This window comes from Homo sapiens, chromosome 1 (genome assembly GCF_000001405.40).
Source record: "Homo sapiens chromosome 1, GRCh38.p14 Primary Assembly".
NCBI classification, from domain to species: domain Eukaryota; kingdom Metazoa; phylum Chordata; class Mammalia; order Primates; family Hominidae; genus Homo; species Homo sapiens.
This window is the reverse complement of record NC_000001.11, coordinates 179,837,840-179,854,479: the sequence shown is the minus strand read 5'-3', so window position 1 is coordinate 179,854,479 and position 16,640 is coordinate 179,837,840. Positions and strand designations below refer to the sequence as shown.

Genomic DNA, 16,640 nt, shown 5'->3' with positions numbered 1-16,640 from the left:
CACTTTTCCATTTCACTAGAAACCAACAATAATCAAAAAACTTGAGATTTTGTTTCAAATTGCATTAAATTTGTAGATTAATTTGGAGAAAATTGGCATCAATGGTTTTGAGTCTTATTTGTCTATGCATGATATTTTTTTTTCTGTTTACTTATCTCTTTTTTATAGACTTCAATAAAGGTCTATATTTTTCTCTCTAAAGTTGTGTTTTAAAGAAACAGCTTTATTGAGGTATAATTTACATACCATAAAATTCACCACTGTCTAAAGATCTTACATATCTCTTGTTGGATTTATTACTAGGTATCTTTTAGTTTTTATTCTAGGTTCCTTAAGGTTATTGTGAGTAGCATCATTCCTTTTGAAAATTTTTGTTATTGGTACATAGGAAACTTTTAGCCTATTTTCTTGGTTTTGGCTGGCAGGAAAAATTTTTTTAACAAAACTTAAAAAGGACTGGGGACTTTTTATTTTCTGTCATGAGCTAGGATAGGAGAGAAAACTTCATTCCAACATATGATGGCTTGAAAGCCCAATCCCAGGAGCTTGAAGAAGATAAAAGAGCTGACAAGGAACCCTCTGAACACTTCGCTAAGTGTTCACAGTGGCAGAAAGAAAATCTGTCCCTAACTCTTCTCTTCCCTTCCAATTTATCTATGGCATCACTCTTTATTTATACATTCATTTATTTTTTCATAAGCTTTTAAGTTAAAATATGGAGTTCTTACTATACACTAGGCACCGTGTAGGCATTGGGGATCAAAGTTTTTAATGTGTAAATTTAAATTTTACAAAAGAGTACTGAGAAAAACATAAAGACGGCCAGTTGGCTAGCCTTCCAGCTAGGCTGTCAAAAAACTATAACACTTCACACAGGTTTTTCTTATATATTTTTGTATTTAAGCCTCATAGATATCATTATTCTCATTTTCATAGGGAATAAATATTAAGTAACTTTATTGATCAATTTGTTTTTGACAAAAAAAAGAACTATAAAATATGACTGTTTTTATTGCTTATAAAGTGCCTTTGATTTTGATTCCTTTTGTGTAAACCTTAATAATTTTCTTTGTCTGTCTTTGAGCATTGCATAAAAAGGCATTGTATAAAGGAATATCTGTCTCCATATTTTACAAAAGAATACTTCGAGAAAACCACTTCAAAGTCAGTCCAAATGTGTAGTGGTACACCTCAAAGCAGCCATCTCAGTTTGTGGGAACCTCCTGTGCATTGTTACTTTTTAATATAAGTGAAAGCTCCTGATAGGCAGACTATGAGAAAATTATCTGGGACAGAAATTGAAGACATCCAGGAAATCTGCAGTGATTGTTTCAGCAATGACTTAAATTTCTACTCTTAGATTTATTTTTTATTTTAATTCAAGCTAGTCTGTTGAAGATTCTGGTCACTTGATCTTACTTTTTATACTCTTTCAACTATGCTGGAATATATTAGATTATGAAATTCATGAAAGATTAATAATCTGGAGCTTTTTTCAGTAGTCTAGGATTTGGAATATGATTCTCATGAAAGGAAATTTTCTTCACGAAAAAAGTTTCACAGAGGAAATAGTACTCAAGCTACACATATTTAATAAATAAAGCTGATACTTGCATTTCTCCCTTGTATGGATAAAAAGTCATTTAATTTTTTTTCATTTTGTTTTAGTCACTGTATATATGCCTTATTTCCTGGGTCCATGGGAAGCATGAGTCTGTTGGGACTTGGGACAAGAAGAAAACAAGACATCTTCACAAGGAAAACCAAGTACTAAAAAAAGTATCCTCCCAACTCTGAAGAGATAGAACACAAACATGGCCGACAGTGGACTTAGGGAACCTCAAGAGGGTAAGACTGATTTGTCTGGCACTGAGGTTGCTGCTGTAGGAAACCAGGGGTGTGCAGAGAGAGAAAATCTCTGATGACTAAAATCTGAGGTTTTGAAGTAAAAAAGCTAATTCAGTGGGTTCATTTGTTTTGATTATACTTATTCTTTCAAATTTACTGAATTTTACTATAATGCGAGACCCTAATTATAATATAAGGAAGATAAATGTTTTAGAGACTCCAATAGTAAGGACTTATAGTAATGGAAAAATACAATGCTTCTTTAAAAAATGATGGTAGACAAATCTTTAGAGTTATATATATCCTGTGATGTGCTATATTTAGAAGGTATCTTTCTTCTTCCTCTTCTTCTCCTTTTTTTTTTTTTTATGTTACCCAGGCTGGAGTGCAGTGGCGTGATCTCAGCTCACTGCAACCTCCGCCTCCCGGGCTCGAGTGATTCTCATGCTTCAGCCTCCAGAATAGCTGAGATTACAGGCGCCTGCCACCACACCCAGTGAATTTTTGTATTTTTAGTAGAGACGGGGTTTCACCATGTTGCCAGGCTGGTCTTGAACTCCTGACCTCAGGTGATTCACCTGCCTTGGCCTCCCAAAGTGCTGGGATTACATGCATGAGCCACCACATCTGGCCATTCTTACTTTTATTAAAGAAACAAAGTCTTTTGGAATTTCCCACGTGCTGGGTTTTGCTGATTATATTCTTGAGGCATAATTTAATGTATTCCTGTATCCCTATATTTCTTGGAAACTGGTTGCTCTAGAAACTTACCAGATTTAAGTTTAGTTGTTTGGCAAAAATACTTCCCAAGTGGTCTAGAGTACTTCTTACTGCATTGTATTAGAAAGTAAATGATATCTGTTTGGGTTTCCCTGTTTTCATGATGTGAAGATTGGTCGCTGGGTTCAGCAGTTGTCAGTCTGGCTCATCCACTATAAAAGTCCCTATCAGCCTTTTGCATAAGGTTTTGCTACCATTGATGAGCATTGCCTTTCATTAGGGAAGAGGATATATTTAATATAGCCAAAAGTTTGTTCTGTCATATAATTTGTTTTATATTAGTGTCATTTTATATTTATTAACATGATAAGATTTTTTTTGTTGTTGTTTTAATTGCCTTTAGTGGGAGCCAAGAGAAATAATGTTTAGGAAGTGTCTTGTAAACCATGAAAATCTATGTAAATATTATTATTAAACAGGGACCTTGTTAAAATATAAATTTATGGGGAATTTTTTCCAATAAAAATTATAAACTTTTATCTCAATAGACTCTCAAAAGGATTTGGAAAATGATCCATCAGTAAATTCTCAGGCGCAGGAGACCACAATCATAGCAAGTAATGCTGAAGAAGCTGAGATCCTACACTCTGCCTGTGGTCTTAGCAAAGACCACCAAGAGGTAGAGACAGAAGGTCCAGAAAGTGCAGATACAGGTGATAAATCAGAAAGTCCAGATGAAGCAAATGTGGGGAAACATCCAAAGGATAAAACAGAAGATGAGAACAAGCAGAGTTTTCTGGATGGCGGAAAAGGGCATCACCTCCCTTCAGAAAATCTGGGTAAAGAACCCTTGGATCCAGATCCCAGCCATTCTCCAAGTGACAAGGTAGGAAGAGCAGATGCACACTTAGGGAGCAGCTCTGTGGCCCTCCCTAAGGAAGCGAGTGACGGAACTGGAGCATCTCAGGAACCACCTACTACAGACTCCCAGGAGGCCCAGAGTCCTGGTCATTCCAGTGCAGGGCAAGAGGGTGAGGATACACTGAGGAGGCGACTGCTGGCCCCAGGTAAGAGAACCCCCTGAACTACTCTCCTGTTTTGTACTGCTCTGTTAACTGAGAACACAGCAGAAGTCAGAGGCCTTCTTTCCAGAGAACTTTTGTCATCTTTCATAGGAGTAAGGCCTTTGGGCCTTGCCCAAGCTCACACCAAGCCATGACTGAGTTGATTTTAGAATGAGGTTTCTCATCTAGGCTAGCTCATTCCACTATATTAAGTTGCTTCCTACACATAAACTGCATTTCTAAGCATGTTTTTATTAACTGTTTATATTAATGTGATATGACAAAAAGGGGCATGACTTTTAAAAAATTCGCTTCTGGTTTTTTATTTCTTATGAGAATATTTCGACTTACAATTTTTAAAATCTTTTACTTTTTGGGAAACTAAATGTTACATAAATCAAGAGATGGGTATATTTAAAAATGAGCATTAATGGGACAGTATCCTTAACTCAGTCATGTTTCAGTTTTATAGGACTTTGAGTAAGACAGTTAGTTTCTCTATACGTGGTTTTTTCTGCCTATATGTTAAGAGGAACAAGCATGTCTTCCCTTATGAAGCTAAGCGTTGCAGTGTGCTAAATCCTTAACTGGAACTGGAGGTGTGAATTCTAGTTGTGGCCCTACCACTTGCTGACTTGGGAGACCTTGGGAAAATCTTCCCTTCCTGGTGCTTCAATTTCCTGTTTGTAAAATGAAGAAGTTGGACAAGATGATATCCAAACATTCTTCTAACTTTCACCTTCTGTGATTGTCTGTGTGGGTTTGTATTTTATAAGCACTCTGAAGAGCTCAGTCTGAAATGCCCATTTGCCAGTGCAAAAGAATATAAAATATAAGATGTTCTGTTCATCAGGGACTTCAGCAAGGGCTAGTAATTCATGTTTCACTGCAAATCAATGACTAATCTCAAATATATGTTTTATTTATTAATCATTAGAATAATCTGTAACTTCAGTGAAGGCAAGGACTGTGTCCTCTCATTCATTGTGTATCTCTGGCACCTGGCACATAGAAACACCTTTATGAATTTTGTCAAATGAATGAATGTGATCTGTAAGGACCATGACCTGCGTCAGAATTTCACTGTTATAAACTAGGTGCAATTACTTACACCTCTAGTCCCAGTTACTTGGGAAGCTGAGTTGGGAGGATTGCTTGAGCCCAGGAGTTCAAGCCTGCAGTGTGCTATGATCACCCCTGTGAATAGCCACTGCATTCTAGCTAGCCTGGGCAATCTAGTGAGATCCCATCTCTTAAAAAAAAATTCACTGTTAGGCAGGTTCACTGTGAGTAGAAAAAATATTGTTTAAAAAAATCTAGTTTAGGCCAAGGGTGGTGGCTCACTCCTGTGATCCTAGCACTTTGGGAGGCCAAGGCTGGTGGATCACTTGAGGCCAGGAAGACCAGCCTGGGCAACATGGCAAAAACCCATCTCTACAGAAAACACAAAAACAGCTGCATGCACCTATAGTCCTCAGGAGGCTGAGGTGGGAGGATTGCTTGAGCCCAGGAGGTTGAAGCTGTGGTGAGCCGAAATTTCAGCACTACACTCCAGCCTTGTTGACAGAGTGAGACCCTGTCTTTAAAAAAAAAAATGCAGTTTATGTATGGAAAGCAATTTAATATAGTTGAATGAGGTTATCTATACTCTAAGAGATGAGAAACTTTGTTTTCATCTCAACTTAGCTATATCTCTTTTTTTTTGTTTTTTTGAGATGGAGTCTCACTCTTTTGCCCAGGCCGGACTGCAGTGGCGCTGTCTCGGCTCACTGCAAGCTCCGCCTCCCGGATTCACGCCATTCTCCTGCCTCAGCCTCCCGAGTAGCTGGGACTACAGGCACCCGCCACCGTGCCCAACTAATTTTTTTTTTTTGTATTTTTAGTAGAGACGGGATTTCACCGTATTAGCCAGGATGGTCTCGATCTCCTGACCTTGTGATCCGCCCGCCTCGGCCTCCCAAAGTGCTGGGATTACAGGCGTGAGCCACTGCGCCCAGCCAGCTACATCTCTTTATGTGACCTTGGGCAAGATCTTTAATATCCCTGGACCTTTTTTCATGATAGGTTAAGTAATGGGGCCGGAGTAGGTGTCCATTATAGATCCTTTCAGTTCTTAGATTCTATGATATGATATTTTAAGAACCTACTCTTTGGGGTGATAGGAACAATCCTTTATAAGTGAAGATGATCCTACTCATCTATGCTAATAGAAGTACCTGGCTGGGGTTAAGCACAAATTTAGATTCTAGTGTGATTTAGCTTAGAGTGCTAAAAATTGTTGCCCTTCTTTTCACCCACATATTTTAAGCTTGGCATGCCCTCCCTACATCTGGATTTTTACATATTTCGTGAATTTTCTTCACCTTATATTCCTTGCTTTGTATATCTCCTTCACTAAGAGTTTCAAATTTGCTTCTGTAAGCTATTTTGCAACTGTACACTAATCTCTCCTATCTTAGAACTTAGTGCCTCTGTTATTTTTATATTCGGGGTCTTGAGGAACCATGTGAAACTCGAACACTGGAATTAGAGCACAATTACCCTGTGAAGTTGAATCTTGTGTACAGCCAACATTTCTTAAATCCCTTCTTGATTTTATACATTTTGCTGAATTACATTTTAGGTAAGTTTGGCCGCACTATTTAAATGTCTTTGTCTTTGATATAAGAGGCAGTAAGGAATTGTGAATATAGCAACATTATCCTTGAATGAATTTCACAGTATTTCATTTTATCCTTCTAAGTAGAATAAAAGTAATAGTCTTAAAGAAAAGACAGGAAAAATGTTAACTTTGGTTTTTTTTTTTTTTTTTTCTGAGATGGAGTCTTGCTCTGTCCCCCAGGCTGGAGTGCAGTGGCACGATGTCGGCTCACTGCAACCTCCACCTCCCAGGTTCAAGCGATTCTCCTGCCTCAGCCTCCCACGTAGCTGGGATTACAGGCGCCCGCCATCATGCCCGATAATTTTTGTATTTTTAGTAGAGACAGGGTTTCACCTTGTTGGCCATGCTGGTCTCAAACTCCTGACCCCAAGTGAGCCACCTGTTTCAGCCTCCCAAAGTGCTGGGATTACAGGCATGAGCCACCGTACCTGGCCAAGGTATAGAAAGCCTTTTAGTCAAATCATTCTTTGGTTTGGTGAGAGATATAAAGGTATACATACTGTCATTAGTGTACTGCCTAAAAATAATATTGATTCTTTTCCTCTCCAGAGGCTGGAAGTCATCCACAACAAACACAAAAATTGGAAGAAATTAAAGAGAATGCACAGGACACCATGAGACAGATTAATAAAAAGGGTTTTTGGAGCTATGGTGAGAACAAACCTGGTTTTACTGCAGTGTTGATTCACTTTCAGAAATCCTCAGTGAAAATGCCTAGAAAACTAGCAGATTTAAACAGTTTTAACATTGTGTTTATATATACTTATTTAATGATTGGTAGTGAGACATAGTAAAATAGTACACTAGAGTTTTAGGGATTTTTCCCTTACGGGTGCTGGCTGATATTTTGCTGTGCTTAACAAAATGGAATTTCTCACAATAGGAAAGGCTTTTCCTAAACAAGAAACAAAAACTGCCTTTCTAATTAGAGAATATTAATTTTTCAAGTGCACTTTAAAGTTATGACTCCTAAAAAAATGGTCGGCTATAGGTAGTAGGTGCATTGAGAAGATGAAAAAAAATCTTGATCACTCATGTCTAAATTACATCATTAGTTATAATAACAAATACATAGACTCAGCTTTTACCTTTTATTTTTAAAAATTTTTTACCGAGTACTTAACTCTTCCACGTAGCTTTTATCTTTTAACAGATATATCTTCAAATAATTAAATCTGAGAAGAGATTAGAGAAAAGGTACTTCTGGTGGATTGAAAGTTTAAACAATTTATGCAAAAGAAACTTATTGCTCCTAGTAAAACCTGCTGGTATCTCTGCCTCATTTCAGTTTACCACAGGCTTTGTTTCTGGCTCGTGTTCTCTGTAATTTTCTATTCCTTTTTCATTCTTTTGACAGGCCCTGTGATTCTTGTCGTCCTGGTTGTGGCTGTTGTGGCAAGTTCTGTGAATAGCTACTATTCCTCTCCAGCCCAGCAAGTGCCCAAAAATCCAGCTTTGGAGGCCTTTTTGGCCCAGTTTAGCCAATTGGAAGATAAATTTCCAGGCCAGAGTTCCTTCCTGTGGCAGAGAGGACGGAAGTTTCTCCAGAAGCACCTCAATGCTTCCAACCCCACTGAGCCAGCCACCATCATATTTACAGCAGCTCGGGAGGGAAGAGAGACCCTGAAGTGCCTGAGCCACCATGTTGCAGATGCCTACACCTCTTCCCAGAAAGTCTCTCCCATTCAGATTGATGGGGCTGGAAGGACCTGGCAGGACAGTGACACGGTCAAGCTGTTGGTTGACCTGGAGCTGAGCTATGGGTTTGAGAATGGCCAGAAGGCTGCTGTGGTACACCACTTCGAATCCTTCCCTGCCGGCTCCACTTTGATCTTCTATAAGTATTGTGATCATGAGAATGCTGCCTTTAAAGATGTGGCCCTGGTCCTGACTGTTCTGCTAGAGGAGGAAACATTAGAAGCAAGTGTAGGCCCAAGGGAAACGGAAGAAAAAGTGAGAGACTTACTCTGGGCCAAGTTTACCAACTCTGACACTCCCACCTCCTTCAACCACATGGACTCAGACAAATTGAGTGGGCTGTGGAGCCGAATTTCACACCTGGTACTGCCAGTCCAGCCAGTGAGTAGCATAGAAGAACAGGGGTGCCTTTTCTAAAGCTAAGCACAGAGTTGGTTACAGAAGGTATATGTTTATGAAAAAGTTTGTTTAAAGACCTTCCATTTATATGGAAGGAGGTTGATAAAATAGCTTGAGGAAATAGCCTGAAAAACAAAGATGAGCTTATTTTAGAAACAAGTTTTTATTTTTTATTCCTTGTAAAATCTTTCTAATCTAAGCCTTGACAAAGCTAAAAATTAACCTGACTTTTTTTCTTTGGACCAAATCAGGTTTGAAATATCGATGATATATATGAGAATTTTTTTTAAATTCTAAAATATAGCAACATTGCACAGGAAGATACTCTTACTTCTTAGAGTAACTACAGAGTGATTTTTTTTTTTTCTTGAGTGAGACTCTGAAGAACCTTTTCGATAATGTTTGGACTTGGACTAAAGCAATTAGAATTATGAAGCAATGATAACCTTTAGAAAATTTTTCTATCACATGTTGAATATTTTCAAACCTTACTTTAATAATCTAAAGTTACGGGATTATATCTTATATTAATTTTGCAGTTTTGAGTAGTATGATAAAAGAAATAAGAATTCAAACCATTAAGTACCTACCTAAATACTACATGTAAGGCACTGTGCTTTTATTTCATTCAGCTGAGGTATAAGCAGCTGTACTCAAATGTTCTTAAAAATGAGAACCAGTGGGGAAATTGTTTATAATCATTGGAAATGAAGAAATTCCAATTGGCTATATCTTTACTTCAGCTTTTCTTGAACAATTTACAGCATTGATTTTCAAACTGTGTCTACTGGCACCCTTCCCCTTTGTATCAGAGCAGTTCTGCTTTTAACTGTTTTATATGTTGGGGTTCTCTATGAGATTTCATTGGAACAAAGAGTTTCACTGATATTCGAGTTTGAAAACCATTGATTAAGTGAAAAAACATCTTAGAAGATAGGAAATATGTTTAAAAAATGAATGTATTAAATCTTATGAGTAGGAAGATGAAATACAGGTTTATTGTATAGATACATTATTTATGAAGGATAAAGATCTATACATGAACAGCAGAATGTATAAGCTAGCATTTACTAGCATGTCTCTGATGCTTTTGTTCATTTCTGTTAATCGTCATTTCTGTCCCCTCTGCATGGAATTTTATACTTGTCTAGGGTAAGAGTTTGTAGACTCTTTCAGCAGAACAGATTTTAATAACCAATTTATTTGTTTTATTTTAAAAATTTATTTTTGAATAACCAATTTAATAGTAAATTTTATATGAACATTTGGCATAACTTTACCAGTTTATTTCTATGCAGTGATGGAACATTATGTAATGCAGCTCATTTCTTGACCAACTAGTTATAGAAGTACCATTAGGTTAAAAATTAGAGAAATCTAAGAGATGTTATACTTAGTGAGAGGAAGCAGAAATGGTGGGTAGATTCTCAGAGGTTTTGATGTTCAGTACTGACGGACCATGTTCTGTGATTGTAAGAAAGATTGAAAACAGTTTGTATGGAGATAGAGTTGATTAGCATTTGAGCTCTGAAAGCAGAACTCTAGTAAAATGATCTCGACCTAACAAAGGGTCTGTTCCATTATATAGACTATTACCATAATCCTGGATTATTTCAACTGGGTTTTGGCCTCTCCATTATATGAGATCATATGTATATAGCTAAGAAGTCTGATTAAAGTATGGAAAGATTTTAGGAAACACTAAGAAGATACAGGGATCTTTACTGATACCTAAAAAGATTACAATTGAGTAATTGCTCAATTGAGTGTAGGGGCATACCTGAAGGAAGAATTTGCATTTGGGACTTCGAAGGAAGCTTCCAAGAGATTTGGGAAGAGACCTGAACAAAAAGTTAAAGCATGGTGAATGTGATATCACTGTCAATCCAGTATAAAAGCAGAGGAAGTTGAAGGAAAATCTGTATCCCATATGCACATTTTTTCTGTCTTTTTAGATCTTAGATGCTAGCGTTACATCCACAAAACCAGTGTTGCCTTGTATAACTATTATATTGGCCTGCTGACCTGTGCTACCTCAGATCTGTCAAGGAACCAGTATGTCGCATATTCTTGTTTCTTCATTCAGTTGAATATGGTTTTTCATCATTTCTCTTCAAAATAATTTAGAAAAATAAATTTCTAAAGTCATAATTTTTAATTTAGCCTTTTTAAAAACATTTTCCCTTCCATGTATAGTGCAATCAATTGAGGGTGTTGTCAGTTTTCTGTCTGCTATTTCAAAAGTCTTTTTTTTTTTTTTTTTTTTTTGAGATGGAGTCTCACTCTGACTCCCAGGCTGCAGTGCTGTGGCTTGATCATAGCTCACTGTAGCTTTAAACTCCTGGGCTCAAGCAATCCTCCCACCTTAGCCTCCTGAGTAGCCGGGACTACAAGTGCAGACTACCACACCACTCTACCACACTATTTTGTATAGAGACAGGGTCTTACTGTGTTGCCTAGGCTGGTCTTGAACTCCTGGCCTCAAGTGATCCTCCCACCTCAGCGTCCCAAAGTGTTTGGATTACAGATGTGACCCAATGCACCCAACCAAACTTCTTTTTTTTTTTTTTTTTTTTTTGAGAGAAGGTCTTGCTCTGTCACCCAGGCTGGAATGCAGTGCAGTGGCACAATCTCATCTCACTGTAACCTACACCTCCTGGGTTCAAGTGATTCTTGTGCCTCAGCCTCCCAAGTAGCTGGGATTACAGGCATGCACCACAATGCCCAGCTAATTATTGTATTTTTAATAGAGACGAGGTTTTGCTATGTTGTCCAGGTTGGTCTCGAACTCCTGGCCTCAATTGATCCGCCTGCCTTGGTCTTTCAAAGTGCTAGGATTATAGGCACGAGCCACTGCACCTGGCCTCAAAAATCATTTTTAAAAGAAGCAGTATATTAGCTCTGGGTCTTCTCATGACTAAAATGACTATTTTTAAACATAAGACCATATTTTATAAATGTACAGATAATTCAAATCTATTATCTAATGTATTAGGTTAATTTCTATTTGTTCTATACTTTTTTTTTTTTTTTTTTTTTTGAGATGGAGTCTTGCTCTGTTGCCCAGGCTGGAGTGCAGTGGTGCAATCTTGGCTCACTGCAAGCTCCGCCTCCTGGGTTCATGCCATTCTCCTGCCTCGGCCTTCCAAGTAGCTGGGACTACAGGTGCCCGCCCCGACACCTGGCTAATTTTTAAAAAAATATTTTTAGTAGAGACAGGGTTTCACCGTGTTAGCCAGGATGGTCTCGATCTCCTGACCTCGTGATCCGCCCGCTTTGGCCTCCCAAAGTGCTGGGATTACAGGCGTGAGCCACCGCACCCGGCCTATTGACATTTTTTAAGGTTTCAGATTTTCTTTTGTGTGTCTAGTAATTCGTCTTTTATTGTCAAAGATAATTTGCTTATTTGACTTAGAAAAATGATTTGTGGGCATACAATATTGTATGTGGTACCTAAACGTTGCCATTTAGTTACTCTTACAGAACAACTTTCATTACACTGTATATTAATATAAATTACTTCTTGAGTAATCCCAGAATTGTAGAACCAATTGGTAGAATCAGAAACTGTCTTTGGACTTGAGGTTTTTCTTCCCTTAGGGTAAATTTTAGGTTTTCTGGTTAGTTTCCAGGAGTTGGCGGACAAGTTCATATCACTAAAGGTGTTCATATCACTAAAATAGTAATGCTAATTTGTTTCATATTTCTATTTTAAAAAGCAATCAATAAAGACATTTCAATACATTTCATTTGGAAGCCCCCAAGTGTATGGTGGTTAATAAGGCTCAGCATGCTGGTAACCCACCATTCTCTTAGCTAGTGACTCCACTAAATAGTGCTAGCCGCTGAGATGGTTTTGACCCTTTAACAGCCTTTTTTTTTTTTTGAGACAGAGTTTCACTCTTGTTATCCAGGCTGGGGTGCAATGGTGCGATATCTCGGCTCACTGCAACCACTGCCTCCCAGGTTCAAGCGATTCTCCTGCCTCAGCCTGCCAAGTAGCTGGATTACAGGCACGTGCCATCACGCCCAGCTAATTTTTGTATTTTTGGTAGAGACGGGGTTTCCCCACGTTGACCAGGCTGGTCTCGAACTCCTCACCTCAAGTGATCCACCCGCCTCGGCCTCCCAAAGTGCTGGGATTACAGGCGTGAGCCACCGCGACTGGCCTACACAGCTTTTAATTGCTTGATTTATACTTTATTAAAGAGAGGAAGCACAATGAGCAGTGATACTAAAATATAACTAATATGGCATGTGAAAGTGATCATTATTCAGATGATCTTCACCAACACTGCATTTGCATATATCTGACCAAACTTTATGCGACATAGGCAGGTCTCTGGCACTTCAAAAATGAATGTTAAATAGAAAATAATAAATAATAGCTGATTAGGGTAATCATTTATTTAATCAGAATAAAGATTATATCCATAAAATTTACTTGCAGAGAAGTACTTTCTTTTTGTTTTAAAGACAGGGTCTCACTCTGTCACCCAAGCTATGGTGCAGTGGCACAATCACAGCTCACTGCAGCCTGGACCTCCTGGCCTCAAGGGGATGATCCTCCTACTTCAGGAATTATGCCACCATGCCCGGCTAGTTGAGAAGTACTTTCAAATAGCAACATGAAGCCTTTCCTTTACCATTTGAAAATAAAACATAGTTGTAAACATAAACCAGTATGTCTTTGTAAAGCCAATAATATATCATTTTATAGGAGCATTGTCTTCTTGTGTTTTTCAAGTTGACTATGTAGTTCAATGTCAGTCTCCATTTTAATATCTTGTTTGTTTATCAGCCTGAGCATATTTCATTTTAAAATGTATTTGTTGAGAAGTCATGGTGGTTTTTTGTTTTTCACAAGTCAAGTAGCTTGAACACTATCACTTGTCCAATGGGAAAGTTGATGCTTATCTTTATGGCAAATGCTTGGTTGAATAATATATTTGCAAAGATGTTAATTCTACAGAGAGCTAAATAAAGTTAAGATACCTGTAAAACAGTTTCTCCAGATGACTTTAAAATAAGCCTTATTTTTGTAAATTTATGTTAAATTTTAGGTGTTAAGTTGTGAAATACCTAATGATGTGGGCCTAAATTTGCCTCATTCAGACTGAGACAGGGCTGTTAAAATTCATTTCTAGCTAATAAACTGTGCTATAACTTCTTTATTATTATTATTATTATTATTATTATAGTTTAAGTTCTGGGATACATGTGGAGAACATGCAGGTTTGTTAACATAGGTATACACGTGCCATGGTGGTTTGCTGCACCCATCAACCCGTCATCTACATTAGGTATTTCTCCTAATGCTATCCCTCCCCCAGCCCCCCACCCCCTGACAGGCCCCAGTGTGTGATGTTCCCTGCCCTGTGTCCAAGTGTTTTCTTTGTTCAATTCCCACCTATGAGTGAGAACATGCGATGTTTGGTAAACTGTGCTATAACTTCTGTATCTCTATAGGCCAATCCAAATGGCCTGAGAACATAATCAGTATCCCCTAATCTGCAAAAAGGTAAATACCTTAGTCTTCAGTACCTTTCCTTCCAGTATTATCTGCATTATCTGTGCCCGCTTGCTGTGATGTCTTGAAAAGCCCATAAATTGGTTCTTATTTTGGCAAATGGTCTCCTGCTTTTCCTCACTGAGGCTTATAAACTAAATTTGCCTTTGGCTAAGCGCAGTTACATGAACCAAAAAGAACATTTTAGACTTGGGAAGCAACAGGCTGAGTCACATTGTATGGGGCAGAGTTGGCCAAGCCCCCGGCAGTCACAGCCCTACTCTCTGTGTTCCTTCTAGGCCTGAGGACGCATCAACACAAAGCTCCAGGCAGTTGCTCCTGGTTCATCAGAGAGCACAGGAAATTTAAATCTATTTGCCTTTCCTGTCATAAAAGAAACAGCACACTGACTTTCAAACTCAATTGCATTTTGCTTATTTGTGCTTAACAAAAAATATGTGTGCTTTGCCAATACTAACGTCCCACTTCTCTGCACTCCCTTTCTGTATAACAGGGATTGCTTTTGTATTTGTTTCTTATAGATGCTGATGATGTGCCTTATTCAGATTAGTTGGCCATTACCAGAATAAAGAATAAATCTGAATTTTTTTCAGCGGACTGATTCTTGATTAAATTTCCCAAAATAGCAGGTTTATAGAAATGGGCATGTGGTGATTAATGGTGGGAAAGGAAACTGCCCTCATATGGCAGTAAGCTGAGGAGCTAGAGAATCCTGTGAGGGTTGTCAGGTGGCATTTTGTGGCCATCAGTGAAATGGTATAGGGCAGACCCTGCCTAGAATCTGTTGCAGCTCTTGGGTAGCATTCTTCGAGTGCTATTCCTACTTAACGAAGCTTTCCTGAGTATGGGAGAAACATTGGGGTTGTAAGTAGATCCCTGGGAATTGCTGCTATCCCAGGGTGTGCTGTTGTGAGTGTGTGTGTGTGTGTTTTGAGACAAAGTCTTGCTCTGTTGCCCAGGCTGGAGTGCAGTGGTGCAATCTCCCCTCGCTGCAACCTCCGCCTCCCAGGCTCAAGCAATTCTCCTGTCTCAGCCTCCCAAGTAGCTGGGACTATAGGCACAGGCCACAGTGCTGGGCTAAATTTTTCTATTTTTAGTAGAGAAAGGGTTTCATCATGTTGTCCAGGCTGGTCTCAAACCCCTGAGCTCAGGTGATCTGCCTGCCTCGGCCTCCCAAAGTGCTGGGATTACAGGCGTGAACCACCACACCCAGCCTGTGAATGTGGTTTTTTTTTTTTTTTTTTCGAGACGGAGTCTTGCTCTGTCGCCCAGGCTGGAGTGCAGTGGCGCGATCTCGGCTCACTGCAACCTCCACCTCCCGGGTTCATGCCATTCTCCTGCCTCAGCCTCCCGAGCAGCTGGGACTACAGGTGCCCGCCACCACGCCCAGCTAATTTTTTTGTATTTTTAGTAGAGACGGGGTTTCACCGTATTAGCCAGGATGGTCTCGATTTCCTGACCTTGTGATCCACCCACCTCGGCCTCCCAAAGTGCTGGGATTACAGGCGTGAGCCACCGCGCCCGGCCGAATGTGTTTTTTAAGTGTGGATATCCCTTACCTTATGTGTTGGGAGTGGGGGAGGTGGGGGTGTGTTCAGAATTTCTGCCTTAAGATGTTGCCAAACCAGAATTACAGAGCAGAAGCACCTGAATACCCATCTCAGCCCCTCACCCACCTTCTCCCAGCTTCCTGCTCGGCCCACCCCCATCCATACCCAACTAAAACCAAAGGTCTTATTAACACATTTTATAGAAACATTTTCTAACAAATCTGAATTGAATTTTGAAAATCTGAAAGACTTGTTTTTGCAGTTTAGAAAAATAGGAACTTTGGGAGTTACCATATCTTAACATATGAGCTTTCACTGAAAAGAGCTAAAGTCAAGCGATAAGATGAGCCTGAAGGCAAAGAACACAGAATTTCCTAATACTCATTCCACAAACGTCAACAGTAGATTAGCAGCAACGAGATTTTCTTAATGCATAAACTCACCACTAGAGGATATTACATACTAGTGTTCTACCGTACACTAGAACAGGCCTCAATACTGATTAATAAGGGAGTGAGTGGCTATGAATTATTTAGTTGCTGTAGGAATTGTCATTTTAAACAGGATACAATAAAAATGATTTTAAGTCTGAAGTTGCAATTCGAGTCATAGAATGTTTGGTGCAGAAGCAGCTCCATCAAGCTAAACAGAAAAGATCTTAGCTATTGGTCCAAGGTATTATCTACTTTAAGAAAAGGAAATGAGTAGGCAGATCGTATTATGTATATGTTTAGGGCACTCATTACTGTGGAATCTGCCCACATGACTTTAGGGCTCACAGAAGGCCCCCATACACACACTAAAAATGAGACACTAGCCAGGCGTGGTGGCTCACGCCAGTAATCCCAGCACTTTGGGAGGCTGAGGTTTGTGGATCCTTTGAGCCCAGGAGTTTGACACCAGCCTGGCCAGCATGGTAAATCCCTGTCTCTAAAACAAATGCAAAAATTCGCTGAATGTGGTGGCACATGCCTGTAAGTCCCAGCTACTCAGAAGGCTGAGGTGGGAGGATCACCTGACCCTGGGGAGGTGGAGGCTGCAGTGAGCCATGATTGCACCACTGCACTCCAGCCTGGGTGACCGAGTGAGACCCTGTCTTAAAAAAAAGGCCAGGCGCAGTGGCTCATGCCTGTAATCCCAGCACTTTGGGAGGCTGATGTGGGCTGAGC

The 16,640-nt window shown here is 39.3% G+C and overlaps 1 protein-coding gene across 9 annotated transcripts in view; it reads left to right on the top strand.

Moving 5' to 3' along the window:
* TOR1AIP2 (torsin 1A interacting protein 2) overlaps positions 1 to 14,504 on the top strand; it is a 37,828-nt gene extending 23,324 nt beyond the window's left edge. For 8 of the 9 annotated variants that reach the window (NM_001349936.2, NM_001349934.2, NM_145034.5 and 5 more), the window contains 4 exons: positions 1,669 to 1,848; positions 3,117 to 3,635; positions 6,844 to 6,945; positions 7,652 to 14,504. In NM_001349936.2, the coding sequence (NP_001336865.1) occupies positions 1,815 to 1,848; positions 3,117 to 3,635; positions 6,844 to 6,945; positions 7,652 to 8,409 (1,413 nt within the window). In that variant the 5' untranslated portion in view covers positions 1,669 to 1,814 and the 3' untranslated portion in view covers positions 8,410 to 14,504. Of the gene's footprint in view, positions 1 to 1,668; positions 1,849 to 3,116; positions 3,636 to 5,605; positions 6,256 to 6,843; positions 6,946 to 7,651 lie in introns of those variants that run through there. The other variant, XM_017000476.3, reaches the window with a different exon arrangement.